General features: G+C 37.3%; 1 protein-coding gene across 2 annotated transcripts, besides 16 other annotated features; it reads left to right on the top strand.

Moving 5' to 3' along the window:
• Window positions 2,298-3,037: a mobile genetic element.
• Window positions 2,298-3,883: a biological region, named in NCBI's record as "ADH1C promoter region". NCBI's record gives its function as "regulatory_interactions: ADH1C | LOC111240471".
• Window positions 2,326-2,628: a promoter, noted in NCBI's record as "E-R promoter fragment". NCBI's record gives its function as "promoter in liver cell lines" and the evidence as "EXISTENCE:reporter gene assay evidence [ECO:0000049][PMID:12489990]".
• Window positions 2,353-2,639: a repeat region, noted in NCBI's record as "contains four repeated motifs of two subrepeats; consensus A = tgtctagctaaaggtttg B = taaaaaygcaccaatcagcrctctg". NCBI's record gives the evidence for it as "COORDINATES:motif similarity evidence [ECO:0000028][PMID:12489990]".
• Window positions 2,410-2,434: a protein binding site, noted in NCBI's record as "BCAT". NCBI's record gives the evidence for it as "EXISTENCE:protein binding evidence [ECO:0000024][PMID:12489990]".
• Window positions 2,476-2,500: a protein binding site, noted in NCBI's record as "BCAT". NCBI's record gives the evidence for it as "EXISTENCE:protein binding evidence [ECO:0000024][PMID:12489990]".
• Window positions 2,542-2,566: a protein binding site, noted in NCBI's record as "BCAT". NCBI's record gives the evidence for it as "EXISTENCE:protein binding evidence [ECO:0000024][PMID:12489990]".
• Window positions 2,570-2,591: a protein binding site, noted in NCBI's record as "BCAT". NCBI's record gives the evidence for it as "EXISTENCE:protein binding evidence [ECO:0000024][PMID:12489990]".
• Window positions 2,727-3,883: a promoter, noted in NCBI's record as "-1107/+55 promoter; HindIII/PstI fragment". NCBI's record gives its function as "drives expression in kidney, heart, neural tube, hindbrain, limb buds" and the evidence as "EXISTENCE:reporter gene assay evidence [ECO:0000049][PMID:2169444]" and "EXISTENCE:transgenic organism evidence [ECO:0001131][PMID:8120040]".
• Window positions 3,501-3,557: an enhancer, noted in NCBI's record as "RARE; -328/-272". NCBI's record gives its function as "mediates induction by retinoic enhancer; antagonized by thyroid hormone" and the evidence as "EXISTENCE:reporter gene assay evidence [ECO:0000049][PMID:1996113, PMID:1321136]".
• Window positions 3,501-3,883: a promoter, noted in NCBI's record as "-328/+55 promoter; EcoRI/PstI fragment". NCBI's record gives the evidence for it as "EXISTENCE:reporter gene assay evidence [ECO:0000049][PMID:1996113]".
• Window positions 3,526-3,549: a protein binding site, noted in NCBI's record as "RARE; -304/-280". NCBI's record gives the evidence for it as "EXISTENCE:protein binding evidence [ECO:0000024][PMID:1321136]".
• Window positions 3,721-3,756: a protein binding site, noted in NCBI's record as "G3T Sp1 site". NCBI's record gives the evidence for it as "EXISTENCE:protein binding evidence [ECO:0000024][PMID:1446829]".
• Window positions 3,778-3,798: a protein binding site, noted in NCBI's record as "C/EBP footprint". NCBI's record gives the evidence for it as "EXISTENCE:protein binding evidence [ECO:0000024][PMID:2050667]".
• Window positions 3,800-3,807: a TATA box. NCBI's record gives the evidence for it as "COORDINATES:motif similarity evidence [ECO:0000028][PMID:2050667]".
• Window positions 3,808-3,819: a protein binding site, noted in NCBI's record as "C/EBP footprint". NCBI's record gives the evidence for it as "EXISTENCE:protein binding evidence [ECO:0000024][PMID:2050667]".
• On the top strand, window positions 3,829-20,078 carry ADH1C (alcohol dehydrogenase 1C (class I), gamma polypeptide). Of its 2 annotated transcripts, none has more exons than NR_133005.2 (9): window positions 3,829-3,917; window positions 8,729-8,830; window positions 9,431-9,569; window positions 11,309-11,396; window positions 11,494-11,713; window positions 13,520-13,736; window positions 15,865-16,000; window positions 16,860-16,998; window positions 19,799-20,078. NR_133005.2 is itself a non-coding variant. In NM_000669.5 (9 exons), exons 1-9 carry the CDS (start codon window positions 3,900-3,902, stop codon window positions 19,821-19,823), a joined length of 1,128 nt encoding a protein of 375 aa, NP_000660.1. In that variant the 5' UTR covers window positions 3,829-3,899; the 3' UTR covers window positions 19,824-20,078. The 2 variants fall into 2 exon arrangements, 1 of the variants encoding a protein (NP_000660.1); NM_000669.5 differs by having other exon boundaries at window positions 13,520-13,780.

Genomic DNA, 20,205 nt, shown 5'->3' with positions numbered 1-20,205 from the left:
GACTTCAAGAATGAAGCCGTGGACCCTCGCAGTGAGTGTTACAGTTCTTAAAGATGGTGTGTCTGGAGTTTGTTCCTTCAGATGTTCAGATGTGTCTGGAGTTTCTTCCTTCTGGTGGGTTTGTGGTCTCGCTGACTTCAGGAGTGAAGCTGCAGACCTTCGCAATGAGTGTTAGAGCTCTTAAAGGTGGCACGTCCAGAGTTGTTTGTTCCTTTCTGTGGGTTTGTGGTCTCACTGACTTCAGGAGTGAAGCCGCAGACCTTCACAGTGAGTGTTACAGCTCTTAAAGGTGGCGCGTCCGGAGTTATTTTTCCTCCTGGTGGGTTCGTGGTCTTGCTGGCTTCAGGAGTGAAGCTGCAGACCTTCGTGGTGAGTGTTACAGCTCATAAAGGTAGTGTGGACCCAAAGAGTGAGCAGCAGCAAGATTTATTGCGAAGAGCAAAAGAAGAAAGCTTCCATGGCATGGAAGGGGACCAGAGCGGGTTGCTGCTGCTGTCTTGGGTGGCCAGCTTTTATTCCCTTATATGGCCCTGCCCACATCCTGCTGATTGGTCCATTTTACAGAGTGCTGATTAGTCCATTTTACAGAGTGCTTATTGGTCCATTTTTACAGAGAGCTGATTGGTGCATTTACAAACCTTTAGCTAGACACAGAGCACTGATTGGTGCATTTTTACAGAGTGCTGATTGGTGTGTTTACAAACCTTTAGCTAGACACAGAACGCAGATTGGTGCGTTTTTACAGAGTGCTGATTGGTGCATTTACAAACCTTTAGCTAGACACAGAGCACTGATCGGTGTGTTTACAATCCTTTAGCTAGACAGAAAAGTTCTCCAAGTCCCCACCTGACCCAGAAGCCCAGCTGGCTTCATCTCTCAATCCCCCATCTAAACATGACACCCCAACTGCTGTTGGGAATTGGGCGATGACTGCTCTAGCTAATTCCTGCTGGATAGGAGCGAAGAAGGGGCCCTGCAGTTGTAGTGTCCTCCAGAGGGGAACTCTTTAGGCCAGTGAAAGGGCCAGTGGGTTGGTCCAGGGGTCCTCAGTAGAAGTTGAGCTCATTTGGGGTTCCATTTGTAAGACCATCTGTAGCTTGACGGCCTCGATTCTAGAGGAAACAAATTTGACAAGGAGGTTAAAAATACAGGGCCTGAAGGCAAGTAATAGCAAATGGCAGCCACGGGACCTAGAAAGGGGAGAAGCCATGTTGCCCAACTCCAGAGGTTGGTATAAGAGTTTGAAAGGCATTGTCTGATTTCAGAAGCCTTTTCCTGTAAATGCTGGGAGGCATCTCGTACTATCCCTGATTGGTTAGTGTAAAAACAACACTCTTCCCCTAAGAAGGTGGAGAGTCCTCCTTTCTCAGCAGTGATGAGGTCTAGGCCTCAGAGGTTTTGGAGTGTCACTGCTGTCAAAGAGTCTATTTGGGATTGTAGAGTAAGGATAGATTTCACTGTTTCTTGTAAACTGAGAGATCCCTTGAGAGTGTGTGGTAGTAGGATAATACATGTTACACTGTTAACTTTTAGCAAACTTTACTTTTGTTGAAAAACTTGTAAGTTTGGGATTTCAATTATTCTTTGCTATTAATAAGACCTCGTTCAGTCCATATTAACTTAGAGTTGGTATAGATGGCTCCTTCCTGATACTGTAAGTACTTTAAGGTTTGGCTGAGTGCAAAACAACTCCCACGTTCGAACAGACCAATTATTAGGCAATTTTCCTAACTCTGCTTCTACAAGAGTTTCCTTATTACCTACTGAATACCCATTGTGTCTTTTTCCCTTAATCACCCTGGAGGAAACATCTATTGTCCTGTTCTGAGCTCCTCCTAGATCTGGTAGGAACTTTGTATGGTAATTAATTAAGATTTAGATCCCCTGTTAGGAAACTTGTTGGTTTAAAGATTTTTGATAGGAAGGCTACAGGTTGTCAGTGGCCTCAGTGCTGTCGGGCTACTCCCTTGTTTACACTGACAACAAAATGGTATTGGAGTGTTATAGGGTTACAGAGAGGACCTTCAATTATCAATTATAGGTTTTAAATTTACCCTGGCTTTTAAAGGAATAGAGTACACTATTTTTTCTTTACTACTTCTCTCTTTCTCTTTGACTTCTTCTTTGTCTCTCTCTTTCTGACTCCCTTTTTTGTCTGTCTCTCCCTCTCTGTCTTTGACTTTGTCTCTTACTTTCTTTCTCTCTGACTCCCTCTTTGTCTCTCTTCCTCTCTCTGTCTCTCTCTTTCTGACTCCCTTTTTGTCTCTGTCTCTTCCTCTCTCTCTCTTTCTGTCTATTGAGAGGTGAAGCCAGCTGGACTTCTGGGTCAGGTAGGGACTTGGAGAACTTTTCTGTCTAGCTAAAGGATTGTAAACACACCAATCAGTGCTCTGTGTCTAGCTAAAAGTTTGTAAACACAACAATCAGCACTCTGTAAAAATGCACTAATCAGTGCTCTGTGTCTAGCTAAAGGTTTGTAAACGCACCAATCAGCACTCTGTAAAAATGCACCAATCAGTGCTCTGTGTCTAGCTAAAGGTTTGTAAATGCACCAATCAGCACTCTGTAAAAACGGACCAATCAGCACTCTGTAAAATGGACCAATCAGCGCTCTGTAAAATGGACCAATCAGCAGGACATGGGGTGGGGGGGGCCAAATAAGGGAATAAAAGCTGGCCACCCAAGACAGCAGCAGCAACCCACTCAGGTCCCCTTCCATGCCATGGAAGCTTTCTTCTTTTGCTCTTCGCAATAAATCTTGCTGCTGCCCACTCTTTGGGTCCATGCTACCTTTATGAGCTGTAACACTCATGGCAAAGGTCTGCAGCTTCACTCCTGAAGCCAGCAAGGCCATGAACCCACCAGGAGGAACAAACAACTCTGGACGTGCCATGTTTAAGAGCTGTAACACTCACTGTGAAGGTCTGCAGCTTCACTCCTGAAGTCAGTGAGACCATGAAGCCACTGGGAGGAATGAACAACTCTGGACATGTCACCTTTAAGAGCTCTGACACTCACTGCGAAGGTCTGCAGCTTCTGGACACAATACTATTCATTCTCACCTTAAAGACGAGGAAACTAAGGCAAAGAACAGTCAACTAATAAGTCCAAGTATACAGAGCTGCTAAGGAATAGTCTGTCTGATCCCAAAGGCTGTGTCATAACCGCTTCCCTATACTGCCTCTCAGCAGAGGTAAGAGTCAAGTTTTATTTATCACTGCCACCCCATCAGCCCCAGCTTAGTGCCTGACACAGGGAGATGCTCAATCAATGCTGATTGTTATTGAGTGGACTAGAAATGCAAGGCACAGTGAGCCCCTTTGCTGTGACTGATGGGGTGTCTGATTTTCTGCTATAAAGAGGAGAGTGCTGTATCAAACACACTCCTCTGGCTCCTAGCTCTCTCTGTTCCACTTTGTTTATCCAATTTCCCTACTCCTCCTTCGTAACTGCACCATGTGGATTCAAAATTGCAGCTTAGTGCAGACAAAGGGAAAACGGAATTCTGAATGACCCCAAAGGGAAAACTGAACTCTGAATGACCCCTGTGGGTTTGAGAGAAGAGAAGCAGGAACTTGAGAGAGGAGGAAGAGAGAAAGTAATTAAAATGTATCGTTTTAACTTAATATTTAACCGAATGATAGCAAAATCTTATCTGAAATTGGAAAAGTCAAGGTTTTGAGTGCTGGTTCGGTGCCCATTTCTTTATGATTTGATAGTCTGAGAAGAATACGACGGGTGTGGCTTAAAAACCTAGATCACGTGTGTAGTTGGAATTGGGTGTTATATGAGCAAACAAAATAAATACCTGTGCAACATACCTGCTTTATGCACTCAAGCAGAGAAGAAATCCACAAGTACTCACCAGCCTCCTGGTCTGCAGAGAAGACAGAATCAATATGAGCACAGCAGGAAAAGTAAGCAAAAAATATATTACTGTTGATAATATATTCTCTTCAATATAACAAATAAAGGAATACAGTATTAATAATGAATAATTTAAAATTTAAAATTCATATCTAAATTAGATGATGAATAATTTAAAATTCATATCTAAATTAGAAATGATACACTGGAATATGATATGCAATATATGCTATAATATGTAATGTATACTGAACTACAGTGGAAATAAGCTATTCCTAAATACCTTCAAAAAGAATATATAGAATCTGTATCTATTGTCTTTATTTCCTACATTAAATAAATTTGCCGTAAAGTGATAGTTTATTCCAAGCTAATCATGACTGATTTGTAAACCTAAAGTTAGAAAAGTCTTTAATCAGAAGCTATCTTTATATTAAGAAAGCATAATTTAAATGTGTTATTATTTGTATTCATATTTTTTGTGAACACAAGAAGTCTGACAAAACTTTTATGAGAGGGATTTGAGAAGATTTTGAAATATACTTTTAATCTTACTATAAAATATCTTACAAAATACTCATTGATCTCACAGCATTAGAATCATCAAGGTTAAGCAAGACATCACATTCAAATTCCGTTTAAAGGGGGCCCATTATGACACAATTCAGGCAATTTCCACAGAAATCTTATGGAACAGTATCTCCCCTATATAAAAGTCAATATGATCTTACAGAAAAATAATAATGCAATTTGAATCACTTATTAGCACTCAGAACACAAATATTTGTTTTTTCTTCTATAAATTTATACTTATTTTTCAATGTGTTTACAGGTGCACAGAAATGCATGTGGTCATTCAATATAATCAATTGATATTATTAATTGCCTAATTTAAAAAAATCTGTGCAACTATTTCCAGCCATTTGTTGTGCTAGGAGTGTATCACACAATAAAACACCTCACTATGATAATTCAGTTTAAAGGTTCTGAGGCTTACCTTTATGCTGTGCGACAAAACAGGCTCATGTCAATAAGACTGGTTGGAAATCACATGAGTGGCCCATTGGTACTGTTCTTACACCACTTCACTTTACTTTACTTTCATTCATTATTGATTAATATTTACATTCCTCATAGAAAATAATTAGAAAAAAGAAAATTTAAATTTACCATTTACTAAACTCGACTTAAAAGAAATAATGAGTTCATAGAGCAAAAGTATAAACCAATCATTAATGAAAATAATAACTGATGAAATAGATAATCCTCCCCTCTTGAGTGCAACATCAATAACTTAGCTTTTTGACAGCATTTCATTTATGTTTACCCGTCCTGCATTTTATTTTCCTCAATCCTAAATTGTGACAATACTAATGTCTATTTCATAAGGTAGTTGTGAGAATTCAGTAAATTAATAGTGAAAAGCACTTAGAATAGTACCTGGTAAATAAAAATAAGTCAATAAATATTAGCCACTGTTATTATTGTTGCTTTATAACTTTTTGATATTTACTACCACGGAGTACAGAAAACGTGAGGCTACATTAATTTTTTCATTCGTTTTTTTGTTTGGAGATGGAGTATCTTTCTATTGCCCAGGTTGGAGTGCAATGGTGATCTCGGCTCACTGCAACCTCTGCCTCCCGGGTTCAAGTGATTCTCCTGCCTCAGCCTCACAAGTAGCTGAGTTTACAGGTACACGCCACCATGCTTGGCTAATTTTAGCATTTTTAGTAGAGACAGGGTTTCACCATGTTGGTCAGGCTGGTCTCCAACTCTTGACTTCAGGTGATCCGCCCACCTCGGCCTCCCAAAGTGCTGGGATTAAAGGGATGGGCAACTGCACCCGGCCTGATCTTTATTCTCTGGACAGCCAGCTTTGAGACTTCAGGAAAATTATTCAATCACTGAGTCAGTTGATCCTCAATTATTTCAGATGTAGTAAGACCAATAATTCAATAGTACTGTCCTGGTAGCATCCGTTTTAGGTTTAAAAGTAATTCATATTGTTTACAGCAGCACAATTTGCAATTGCAAAAATATGGAAACTTCCTAAATGCCCATCAACCAACGAGTGGATAAAGAGAATGTGGTATATGTACACCATGAGATACTACTCAGCCATAAAATGGAACAAAATAATGGCCTTTGCAGCCACTTGGATGAAGCTGAAGGCCATTATTTTAAGTGAAGTAACTCAGGAATGGAAAACCAAATACCATATGGTCTCACTTATAAGTGGGAGCTAAGCTATGAGGATACAAAGGCATAAGAATGATATAGAGGACTTTGGTTAGGGATAAAAGACTACACGTTGGATACAGTGTACACTGCTCGGGTGACACATGCAGCAAATCTCAAAAACCACCACTAAAGAACTTATCCATGTAATCAAAAACAACCTGCACCCCAAAAACTATTGAAATTAAAAATAAATAAATTTTAAAAATAAAAATAATGCATGTAACTCACTCAGCACAAGCCACAGTGCACCTGTCACATCATAGGCACCTGACAATCAGAAACTCCTACTATTAGAACTTTATTTCCAAGTATTCTGATATTTATTTTGGCATGGACCACATTGAAAATCCTGCAAAGTTGAAGGATTTGACAAATGAATAATGAAAATTAATTGGCAGAAGATGAAATTTCAATTGAATTTTTATTATATTTGCAATTATGTTGATTCTGTAAAGAAAGAGCTCAGTGAATTGTACATGCTTTACCACAATAAAGATGGGTTTTACAGTACACTGCCAAGCACTGGAAATATGTGATCAGCTTTTATTTTTAAGGACATCTGTGGATAAGCTTGCTAGCTAGAAACTCAAATACACAGTTTCTCCAGTTTTTAAATACATGTGTGTGGTCTGAATGCACACACACACACACACACACAGAAACACACATACACAACACCAACTCTAACCTCTGTAATTTTGGGCTCAAATCTAAGCTGGAAGGAGTCTCTGCACATAAATTAGATGAACAAAACAGGCTGCCAAAGCTAAGTTTCAAATGGGTGTTTGAGACAAGTAACACAGAAGTGGAGAGAGAAAATTAAAAGAGGACAATAGGCAAATAGAGAAAGAGACATCATCCTAAGCAGGAAGGTAAATGTATAACTGTTTTTATGGAGTCAGATCCTTTTGGCCTAAGCAGAAAATTGAGCAAGAAAGCAGTGTATTTTGGACAGACACTGACTCTGTCAGCAAAGTAAAGGTGACTTAGAACATGTACCAGCCAATAGTTGTGGGTAAACAGTTGTCTTCAGGACAGTGTTAGAAAATATCAGGATTAAACATCTTTGGAGAAAAAAAAATCAAAAGAATAAATGGTGCTGGGAAAACTGGCTAGCCATATGTAGAAAGCTGAAACTGGATCCCTTCCTTACACCTTATACAAAAATTAATTCAAGATGGATTAAAGACTTAAACGTTAGACCTAAAACCATAAAAACCCTAGAAGAAAACCTAGGCATTACCATTCAGGACATAGGCATGGGCAAGGACTTCATGTCTAAAACACCAAAAGCAATGGCAACAAAAGCCAAAATTGACAAATGGGATCTAATTAAACTCAAGAGCTTCTGCACAGCAAAAGAAACTACCATCAGAGTGAAAAGGCAACCTACAAAATGGGAGAAAATTTTCGCAACCTACTCATCTGACAAAGGGCTAATATCCAGAATCTACAATGAACTCAAACAAATTTACAAGAAAAAAACAAACAACCCCATCAAAAAGTGGGCGAAGGACATGAACAGACACTTCTCAAAAGAAGACATTTATGCAGCCAAAAAACACATGAAAAAATGTTCATCATCACTGGCCATCAGAGAAATGCAAATCAAAATCACAATGAGATACCATCTCACACCAGTTAGAATGGCAGTCATTAAAAAGTCAGGAAACAACAGGTGCTGGAGAGGATGTGGAGAAATAGGAACGCTTTTACACTGTTGGTGGGACTGTAAACTAGTTCAACCATTGTGGAAGTCAGTGTGGCGATTCCTCAGGGATCTAGAACTGGAAATACCATTTGACCCAGCCATCCCATTACTGGGTATATACCCAAAGGACTATAAATCATGCTGCTATAAAGACACATGCACACGTATGTTTATTGCCGCATTATTCACAATAGCAAAGACTTGGAACCAACCCAAATGTCCAACAATGATAGACTGGATTAAGAAAATGTGGCACATATACACCATGGAATACTATGCAGCCATAAAAAATGATGAGTTCATGTCCTTTGTAGGGACATGGATGAAGCTGGAAATCATCATTCTCAGTAAACTATCGCAAGAACAAAAAACCAAACACCGCATATTCTCACTCATAGGTGGAAATTGAACAATGAGATCACATGGACACAGGAAGGGGAATATCACACTCTGGGGACTATTGTGGGGTGGGGGGAGGGGGGAGGGATAGCATTGGGAGATATACCTAATGCTAGATGACGAGTTAGTGGGTGCAGCGCACCAGCATGGCACATATATACATATGTAACTAACCTGCACAATGTGCACATGTACCCTAAAACTTAAAGTATAATTAAAAAAACATTCAAAAAAAATAAAATAAAATAAAAAAGAATAACCTAAATGAATATATTCCATTTTATCTAAGTGCCTTATTGTACTTAACTCTGTTTATCTTTCCTTATGTTATTGCTTTTTTAAAAGATACTCTTATTCTCTTTATAAACCAGAGGACTTCATTTCTATGCAACACTTGTTAGGTGCCAGACATGGGACTCAATGTTGCATGTACAAAGATGAAAAGACACAATTTCTGACTGCAAGCGTGGGAAAACACTGGTACCATCTCTCTGTCTGATGTTCTAGGTAATCAAATGCAAAGCAGCTGTGCTATGGGAGTTAAAGAAACCCTTTTCCATTGAGGAGGTAGAGGTTGCACCTCCTAAGGCTCATGAAGTTCGCATTAAGGTGAAATACTTTTTCCATTTGTATTTAATTTTAAGTTTAAAGAATTCAGAAAATATTAAAAATAGAAACATCCAAAATCCACTAGAGGTATTTTTTATATAATTATCCAGAAAATAAAATTACATTTGTTGTCAAGGAAAGTATAAATTGTTAAATTTTTTTAAAGTGGGCAAACAGTATATGAAGGATAACTCCAGTGAAATACAAAAGAATTTATAGGTTTGTACAGAAAAAAATGCAAAGGGATATATATCAAGAGTTCACAATCAATTTGCATTAGATATTTTCTTGGTGTTAATTTGCAATTTCTACTTCTTTTTCTTTTAACTATGCATTCTTCTATATTATACAAGACAAAAATTTTAGGATCAATTATCTCACAGATTATTCTAAATTGTTAAATTCAAGGGAAAAAGAGGAAGGTTTTAGACTGGATAACCTTGGAGATAAACTGAATCTTTCATATTTGGGAATAGTAGGGATTATCAGCAAAACCCTTGAGAATATTTTTGAATAACAATTTTAGAAAATTGGGTTTGTTAAGTCCATCTGACAGTCATAATCTTTTCTGAATCTAAACATCTTCTCTTTATTCTGTAGATGGTGGCTGCAGGAATCTGTCGTTCAGATGAGCATGTGGTTAGTGGCAACCTGGTGACCCCCCTTCCTGTGATTTTAGGCCATGAGGCAGCCGGCATCGTGGAAAGTGTTGGAGAAGGGGTGACTACAGTCAAACCAGGTACAGGATTCACACTCAGGGAACATGCCTTGGTTCACCATCACAAGATTAGTCAGCCTGGATGAGGAAACCGAGGCAATGAAAGACGAAAGGACTTGCACAAGGTCACAGGGAAGCTGGGACTTCAGGGGTTTCCTCCTTCCCTCTCTGCTTGCCTGACTCAAGCATGTATGACTTCAGGCAGGCATGCGTGTATTCTACCCTTCAACCATTATGTACTACTAGATGCCAGGCACTAGGTTAGAGCCTGGAGATATATGAGGATCAAAAGAGACACAGTGCCTACCAGTGTGGAATTCATAATCTAGTAACTTCCACGTTAGTGTTAGCTGAACACTGTCTTCTGTAAGTGCCCAAAAAACTATAAATGGGAGGGGAGAAAAAAAAACATAAGTATGGACACTGTTCTGTGCTGAGTTCACAAAATGGAGGCTGCATGGTTATGGCTGAAGAAACATGACCTTTCCTTAGGTGACCTATGCAGCTCCTTTACCGATTTCCTCTTCCAACATGGTCTCTCTTCCTGAGCATGGAATCAATGAAACTGACTAGGTGAAAGAAAATGAAAGAAACATAGCAGGAGCCATCCACCATCAACAATGTCTGCCTTATTACCTTTGGCCATGCTTAAATGTGACTGATTATGGATTACTAATTATTTTATCTTCAATATTTATTTTACCTAATCTTATTATGTATTAATATAAATATTACTATATTAATTAAGGATGAATAACTAGGACATTTCCATACCATCGTTTTCATATGAACTTTACCCATAAAATGTTATGCACCAATCATTTTTCTTGGTCTTGTGAAATAGATAGCATAGGTGATTAAAAATAAAATTTGTCTTTAAAGAATCACTTTAGCCAATGGATTCGACCTGTCCACTTACCAAGTACTAATTTAGACTGTGAAAAGAAAATAATAAAATAAACTGTCCAATTTGAGTTTTAGCTCTATTTCCTTTACTCAGAAAAAAATTAATATCAAAACGACTGCCTTATTTCTCACCCCTCCTCCTTCCACCATAACAGTAAAAATAGATAATTCACAAATTACCAGCTAAAAACACTTGAAAGTCAATTCTTATCCTAAAAGAAAGTGTCTAACTTGTTGTGGAAGGTAGAAATTTTCAGACGAATTTCTGTAATTCTTCTTTGTCCTATTTTTGTTAGTTTTCCTCAAAAAAGAACTAAGATCTTTTTGAAAACATTCATTTTATAATTAAGATAAACCTAGTCTCTTTGAAAAGCCAAGACCTATGTTAAAAATCTCATTTTTGTTGTAAATCAAATTCTTACAAAATACCAGATCTTCCCAACATCTACTAGGACTAAAATAGGCTACTTTCAACTAAAATTTATATGTATACTTACAGCAAAAATATTTAGTTAAGATTTAATTAGACAAGGATTACATAAATTATATCTGCAAAGCCTCCAGGATAAATTAGTGCACTGCGTAAAATTTTATTAACACAGTTGATGGAATTTTTTTAATCCATCTTGTTTCCCACACTTGTATTTTCTCTTTAGGATTCTTCAGGCACTTATAAACCCAAACTAAAAAACAATGCCTTGGCAGGCAATGACAAATGACATAGTTGTGACTAGACCCTATTTCTTAGAAACTTTTCAGACACATAATTCTAATCTATACATGTGAGCGTTAAGTTTTTGCTCTATTAATTCCTGCATAGAAATTTAAGAAGAATTTGTTTTATTCCTCTGCAGGTGATAAAGTCATCCCGCTCTTTACTCCTCAGTGTGGAAAATGCAGAATTTGTAAAAACCCAGAAAGCAACTACTGCTTGAAAAATGAGTAAGTTTCTGATGCTTTCTTTGCACAGACTTTGAGTTTGCACATTAGTTATGGTCCTGTCTCATGCCTTTGTGTGTCTTTGTATTGCACTGCCCAGTCTAGGCAATCCTCGGGGGACCCTGCAGGATGGCACCAGGAGGTTCACCTGCAGCGGGAAGCCCATCCACCACTTCGTCGGCGTCAGCACCTTCTCCCAGTACACAGTGGTGGATGAGAATGCAGTGGCCAAAATTGATGCAGCCTCGCCCCTGGAGAAAGTCTGCCTCATTGGCTGTGGATTTTCGACTGGTTATGGGTCTGCAGTCAAAGTTGCCAAGGTAGAAATGACAATGGATGATAAAACCGGTTACACGCAGACTGTCAGGAACCAAAAGGGAAGCAATTTCTTGCAAGAATCAGAAATTATTTTTGTAGATTTGAAGTGTCGATTAAGAGTAGAAAAATGACCCAGAAAGAACTGAGAGCACAGGCTAGAAATTTCACCAATTTATTGCAGATAAAAACTTGTTAAGAAAATGTAAAGATGTCATTTTCAATAATTTTTCTTCTGAATTTGCTGTTTATGGGATCATGAAATTTTAGATCTGTGAACTAATTCATGTTGTAATTCAATCAACAATTAGAGAGCACCTATACATACCTCAGGCACCATAGGTTCTGCTAGGCTCTGACAGCAAAAGTAAATGAAATGAAGCGTTTGCCCTTGAGGACCATCTAGTCTGTGGATCCTCTCCTCCCAGAATTAGGATCAACAGTAGAGTCCAAAACCTTACCTGATGCACCTCGAAACCAAGGCTCACCCACTCTGTGGATTCTTAGACGGAAAGTAATAAAGACTCAGTGATGCATAATTCACTCATTATGACATTTCACTGCTAAAACTAACTCCCCTGGCATGAACACACATATGTATTCAGAAGTGGTAAATTTCAAGCAGAAATTCTTTAAAGGCTCCTCATCTGAGTAGACTGAAAATCTAGTAGTATGTTTTATTTTATGAAACCTAGATCGAGAGATATAAAGATATTTGCCCAAAATCTGACTTCTGCTTAATATGAGCACTAAGACTAAAATATCTTTTACAAATCTCCTGCTGAATGTCAAATCACAATCCATAATTATTAGCACTTTTAAACCACAGTCACAAACAAGCCTTGTATTTTTCTAAGTAAGGTAGAAAGTGGTGTTGTCCCCCATAGTATTGAATAACACTTGGTGAATGAATGAGTGAAATAGACACCCTTAAGGGAATATAAGAATGAGATTATTTGGAACAGGAACAGCATGTTACCCAAAACGAAGGCTGACTATGGGAGACTAGGTTTAGTAAATAACCGCTAGCCAATTTACACAATTTAGAGGACATCTTTTCCAAATTTCGGTGACTTTAGCACTTACTCCCTTGTTCAATTGCCTCATCTATTTTAATGGGTAGTCTAAGTGAGCCTACCCAAGAACAGAAGCTGAGGATACTCATAACAACAGATTTTATTTATTATTAAAATATAGACTAATGTTTCATTGCTGTGTTGTTCACAAGTGTATTTTTTAAAGGAGGGATATACTGGTCACGACTACTGAACAAAAATGAAGAAAGGAGTTAATTATTGAGAGTTAAAGTGGAATATTTTTCAGTCTCCTGGAGTAGCCTTTTCCACTTATTTTATTTTCCGAATATTGCCTTGGTGTATGTATGAGATACTGAAGCTGGCTATCAAGGGATTTCAGCAATTGAGAGTCCCTACAAGATTGTAATCACTGTCATCTGGATCTCAAAGATCATCCAGTCCCCTGGTTCCCAGCCTGACCCATTGGAGTCCCTTGAGGACTTAGTTCCACCTGCAGAGATTCTCATTTAATTGGCATGGGCTATGACCTGGACTGTGGGATGTTTTTAAAGCTCCCCAGATGAATCTAATATGCAGCAGTTTCAGAACTACTCAACTAATTCAACCCCTTGAATTTAAACATGAAGCATTTCAAGCCAAAACAGGTTTCGATAACAGATTGGACAGAAGAGTCTGAGTAGTTCTTGATAACACACAAGACATGGCACTTTATAAAGCTTAAGCAATTTCTAACAAACATTATTTAATTCATTTTTGCATTTTCTGAAAACATAGGTCACCCCAGGGTCTACCTGTGCTGTGTTTGGCCTGGGAGGGGTCGGCCTATCTGTTGTTATGGGCTGTAAAGCAGCTGGAGCAGCCAGAATCATTGCTGTGGACATCAACAAGGACAAATTTGCAAAGGCTAAAGAGTTGGGTGCCACTGAATGCATCAACCCTCAAGACTACAAGAAACCCATTCAGGAAGTGCTAAAGGAAATGACTGATGGAGGTGTGGATTTTTCGTTTGAAGTCATCGGTCGGCTTGACACCATGGTATGATCCGTGACATGCCCTGAAATTTCTGCCTCTGCAACCTGGAGGATGCATTTAGGCAGTAGAATATACGTATTATGTATAAAGGATATTTTTAATGATGAATGGAAATTTCCCGTCATCTTTTTGTTACCTGGCTTGTTTAATTTATTGTTATGAGAAGTCTTCCATTCAATCAGCTAAGCAAACCTGTCTCAAGTCATATTTCCTCGAGAAAAGAAAAAGGGCTTGTTTTTTTTAACACAGCCACTACAAATATGCTTTATTAATTTTTAGTTTAAAATGCAAACTTAAATATATATAAATAATACAAATCATTTTCTCAAATTAAAAAGTTTTATTTTTCTTTTACATTCTTAACAAAAATATTTTAACAATTTTATGTATGCTCTTAACGAATTCCAAACTTTTTGACATAGTATTCTTCGGTCAAAAGAAATGAGCAATTTTAGACCAACTATTATTTTATTAACAGAAAATATGCCCTAAGGAAAGTGACTGCTTTAATACATTGCTATATTTTATCACAGCAACTGGACAGTGCCTGACACAAAACTAGTACCCAGTATTACTTGGACTGAATGCTTTAAATAAAGTCAACAGATTTTACCACCCGCAAAAGTTAAGAGCTACATATCTCATGGCATTGTTTATGAAACGCATGAGACAATGCATGTAAAATACTTTGTGCAACACAACTCATCATGTGGTTAGCTTCCAATAAATGTCAGCAGCCCCCTTTTTTATTTTATTTTATTTATTTATTTATTTTTTTTTTTTTTTTGAGACAGGGTCTCACTCTGTCACCAGGCTGGAGTGCAGTGATATGATTATGGCTCACTGCAGCCTTAACCTCCTGGGCTTAAGTGAGTTTCCTACCTCAGCCTCCGAAAGTGCTGAGTACAGACATGAGCAACCATGCTGAGCCTCAGTTGGCATTATTGATATGAAATACTATTTCCAATCTTGCAGTGCTTATGTCATCTTTGAATTATTACATGATATTACTTTCAAACAGTTACAAATATCAAAGGCAACGGAAACATATCTCTAGCTATATTTTACCTATCCAGAATTATCTAGACTCCTACTGAAAAAGTCTCCAGAAACAAAAAAGTTTCCATTGCTGAGGTTTTCTAGAAGGTCCAGCAGTGTGGGTAACAGGGAGCAGCACCCTGAGATCAAAGTTCCCAGCAGCCTTGACCTGGGACAAATGCCACAGAGGAATAAAGTATCAAGAGAATCCAATTTTTTCCAGGGCTATAGCTTTTCTCCTTATGCTCTTTTTCTATATCTTCCTCCATTTTCTCATGTGGAACTGGAGTGTACATTATCTCAAGACACCAAATGTCTGACAGCCACATGTTCTGAGGATGTCAGTCTCCCAAAGATCAGAATCCAAAATCAAAGAACTAATCATTATATACCTAGAGGGATCCTAAACCATTTTCTAACTACAGAACATGTTCCAAAAGCTGACTGGAAAAGATTTTCTGAACTGTCTTTTGAGGTTCCCAAATAATCAGTGTAATTTAATGTAAAACCAATATACATTTGGGGAGGTAAAAACAATGTTTAAAACATGTCCACTTGAGAAATGGACATAGGAATCTGTTAAAAAGGGAGGCTATCAAGTGGACAAGAGACTAATTTTGGTGATATACTCATTTATCTTGTTCATCATCAAAATATCTGATTCAAAGTATTGGGTTCAAAATACCTATGTAATAAATCAATGAAAAAGGAACCAACTCACACATTGCCTAAGAATGATGTACACTTGTACAAGGAACAGGACTTTATATATGTTTGTAATGATGTTTGCCTCTTTATTCCTTTATTAGGAAGAACTAAGGGCACACAAATTTATTCGTCCATGCTTTCATTCAAAAACCATTTTCTGGGCATTTGCTACATCCACAGCATTATCCTATGCAAAGAAAGGGGGAATGAAGGAGCAAAAGACATGATCTCTTCCCTCTACACACTCACAATCCAGCTAAGCCTATTACATGATATTGTGCATTATGAGTATGAACTATGCCACTCCACGTTAAGGATACTAAATGTTCACTTTATTCCAGATGGCTTCCCTGTTATGTTGTCATGAGGCATGTGGCACAAGTGTCATTGTAGGGGTACCTCCTGATTCCCAGAACCTCTCAATAAACCCTATGCTGCTACTGACTGGACGCACGTGGAAAGGAGCTATTTTTGGAGGTATGTAGTTAGGCTTCAGAGCCAAATTCTCATTAACCTAAGAATTTCTCTCCTTTTATGAGTGACAAGGCAAGTTTTTGAAAAGCAATGAAATTAAAAATAAATTAAAATTTCTTTTCTATAGTCTCCAATAATGCAGAACTTTTCTTTTTTATTTTTTGGAGATGAAGTCTTGCTCTGTCACACAAGGTAGAGTGCAGTGGCGCAATCTTGACTCACTGCAACCTCCACCTCACAGGTTCAAGTGATTCTCCTATCTCAACCTCCAGAGTAGCTGGGATTACAGGCATGCACCACTGTGCCCAGCTAATTTTTTTGGGTAGAGATGAGGGTTCACTATGTTGGCCAAGGTGGTCTCGAACTCCTGACCTCAAATGATCTGCCTGCCTCGGCCTCCCAACGTGCTCGTGCTGGGATTACAGGCATGAGCCATCATGCCCAGCCCCAAGATAGACTTTTCTGATGTCACTATTAACCAGGACTTTCATCTCCACCTCTTTTTGTACTTGTGACTGCGTAAGGCAAGGAAATTTCTAGTAGGCCATGGAAATATATAACAATAAATCATATCTACACAAAAATCTAGACAACTAATAAATTTGCTCCTTAACTTTGGGCATAACATCTGTACTATAATTTCTCTGTGAGAGAGAGAATAACTAAGGACCCTTGTTTATCTGTGATTTTTTTTGTGAAAGCACTGTAAAAGCATATTGAAGTACTCTATCTCTTATTATCCTCAGTTATAGCAGTCTGGAATGCAGCACTTTTTCTAAACTTTCATTTATTTGGAAAATCTTCTCTTCAATTCTCCTACTTACCCTGGTTGAATCTATCAATGATATTTTCTTCTTTTCAGGCTTTAAGAGTAAAGAATCTGTCCCCAAACTTGTGGCTGACTTTATGGCTAAGAAGTTTTCACTGGATGCATTAATAACAAATATTTTACCTTTTGAAAAAATAAATGAAGGATTTGACCTGCTTCGCTCTGGAAAGAGGTAGATTTTAAGTTGTTTTTTTGTTTTGCTTTGTATTCTACAGTAGCGGCGGGGGGGGGGGGGGCGTTGTCTAGCAGAGAATGAAAAGGTGGAAGGATGAGAAAAAATTACAGTGCCTTGGTTTTCCATTGCCAGTTCAATCTTTGCATGGAGCACATGTAAGGTAATACTGTGAGAAGCTAAAAACAGTTGCTTTGCATTTCCTATTCTGCTGAAGGCAAATTATGTTGATTATAGCATAACTGAATGATCAGAGTCATTCAGCCTTCTTTAAAAGAGAACACTCACTTTGGCCCCCATCCCCCTCCAAAAAAAGTTTAAGCAACCAGAATTATAACATGGAATCACTGACACCTCTGCCTGTCATATAAGTAAGTGTGACATCTAATGATTGTATATTAAAATTATTTTCAGGACATCCTCAGCATATTCATTATGGGAGTAGGTGGAACTACATTGAGATTGATTTCTAAGTAGATATTACTAGATTTTCCTTTTTCTTTTCTTTTCTTTGCAGTTTAGAAAAAAAAATTTACTAAGAAAAGTTGTTGTAAAAGAGAAGGGTACTAAACCCTATTTTAAATATTTGTCTTACATTTTCTCCAAGTCTTAGAAAAATAAGCCAATTCTATTTCCTACCTCTAACACTTACACTTACAATCACCTAATATAATGAACTTTGTCACTTGCATTTATATGAGACATAACTGGAAATAGGCAGTTATATCTAATCTCTGCCTTCTAGCTCCAGAGTCTGAGATTTTTCTGCTATCCCACACTTATTTTCATGAGGTTTTCAACTTCAAATAGTGTTTCTTTGAAACTCACAAAACTATCATACTAGATACTTTATCCGACAAATATTCTTGAGGAAGGAAAGACACTAGCACCCACAGAGCACCAGCTGTTCTACTAAGTGTCTTACATGCATTTTCTCATGTGATTCCCAAACAACGCTCAGTGTCAGTCTCAATCTCATTATCTTAGAGAAGAGAAAACTAAGAAGCAGAGAAGGCATGACTTGGTCAAAATCATCAGGTGGTAGGAAGGAGAGCCAGAATTCGAAGGAAGATCTTGTTATTAGCAAATCTATTCACTTTCTATTAAACCACACCACCCCTCAAGAGTGTGTATATATATATATATATATATATATATATATATATATATATATATATATAGAAAACAGTATTCATCAAAGGTTAATTATCATTGTCATTATTATTATCATTGACATCATCATAGAATTGATAAGATGATGGCAAATAGAGATGACCAAAACCAGAAGACACTATTGAGCAACAAAAGAAGGCATGGAGCATGCCTAAATTCACTTTACAAGAATGTCATATAGTAATACGCATATGTAAATAAAATCTTATCAATAAGCAAAGAATAAAAATTGTGATATCAATATTGGTAAGAGTAAGGTGACTTGGATGCTTTCATATACTTTCATAGTAATTGATACATCCTTTTGGGAAAGCAATTTGGTAATTTGTATCAGAAACCTCCAAAAAAAACCTAGATCCTTTGTTCCAGCAATACCATTTCTAGAAATCTATTCTATAGAAATAATCAACTCAAACATACATATATGTTTAAGCATGTTTATTTACTATCAGTAATATCAATATTTAGAAACATTAGAAAAGTCCAACATTAAGAATATGATTTAATAAATTCTAAGCAACTGTTAGAAATGAAAAAGACTTCATTGGCAAATTCTTAAAATGTAATTTTAAACTCATAAAATAAATCATATAAATTGTATTTATAAGATGATCCCAAATTTTCAAAAAGGACAATAGAAAGTGTATCTGTATCTAGAAAAAGCTGATAGAATTCAAGAAAACATTGACCATGATTACTCCGAGGTCGTAAGATTACAGATTTTTTTTAGCGGCTTCTTCTGTCCTGTATTCTCTAAATTATGTGCATATATTTTTCTTATCTGTGTATATATATACACACACCACACACACACTATATATAAAATTCTCAGTCGCAAATATCTTCTTTTCTTAAAAGTGTTCATCAAAAGTTGGTTTATAGAAAAGGCATTAATTCTAGTGTAAATGTTACATTTCTAATCTTCACAAGAATGAAGTAGCTTAGAATTAATACAAATCAGCTTTATTCTCTACTTCTAAGAATCCTTAAACATCTCTGTATCAAAGGTCTATTAAACCTCCAGCATGGTCCTAACTTTATTAAATTATCAGTTCTTTCAGGCAAGGTATCTATCATTATATAATTTGTGCAAATTTGTATTTGGGTTTGAATCCCAACACCCTATACTAGATGTGCGACCAGAGCAAATTACAAATCTTTCTAAGTCTCAGTTTTTATAATCTCTAAATGGAAATAATATGGAAACCAACTTCCTATCGTCATTGTTTAGGTTGAGATTTAAGTGAAAAAAATGCATGAAGCATGTGACAAATAGCAAAAACTTATTGCATGTTATTATCTATTGTTATTTTATATTCCTTATTATACCAGGAACTTGGGCACGCCAAAATGATTTTTTGAAGATGCTAATGTAGATCTGAAGTCTAAATGACAGGCATACTCAGGAGGTTTTGAGTGAGCTTAAGATTGAAGAAAACACAAGAGAAAACCAAAAAACATGAACTTCCCTTCACTTGACTTGACCCAAATGCATAGGGATGGGAAGGGAGTGGCTGAGAACACAGAGAGATTTTCACTAAGTCACCTCAAATACTCCTTGGACTATCACATGGAAGCATGTGGGTTGTCTAAATGTTAACACAATGTCTCTTCTTTCCTATTGCAGTATCCGTACCGTCCTGACGTTTTGAAACAATACAGATGCCTTCCCTTGTAGCAGTTTTCAGCCTCCTCTACCCTACATGATCTGGAGCAACAGCTAGGAAATATCATTAATTCTGCTCTTCAGAGATGTTAAAAATAAATTACACGTGGGAGCTTTCCAAAGAAATGGAAATTGATGGGAAATTATTTGTCAAGCAAATGTTTAAAATCCAAATGAGAACTAAATAAAGTGTTGAACATCAACTGGGGAATTGAAGCCAATAAACCTTCCTTCTTAACCATTCAACTTGTGTGCCATCTTTGCCATTGAGGAAAAATATTTCCTATGACTTCTTACATTTTTGATATCTTCATAATTTTCAGTCATTGAATCCAGTGGAGGGGACCCTTCACTTGTCCTGAATATAC

Source organism: Homo sapiens, chromosome 4, assembly GCF_000001405.40.
Source record: "Homo sapiens chromosome 4, GRCh38.p14 Primary Assembly".
NCBI classification, from domain to species: Eukaryota; Metazoa; Chordata; class Mammalia; order Primates; family Hominidae; genus Homo; species Homo sapiens.
This window is presented reverse-complemented; position numbering and strand designations above follow the sequence as displayed.

Excerpts from the sequence above, each read along its gene's own strand:
- ADH1C (NM_000669.5), top strand. Across the intron at positions 11,714-13,519 it reads CTGCAGTCAAAGTTGCCAAG|GTCACCCCAGGGTCTACCTG; the intron begins GTAGAAATGACA and ends CTGAAAACATAG. Across the intron at positions 13,781-15,864 it reads TCGGTCGGCTTGACACCATG|ATGGCTTCCCTGTTATGTTG; the intron begins GTATGATCCGTG and ends ACTTTATTCCAG.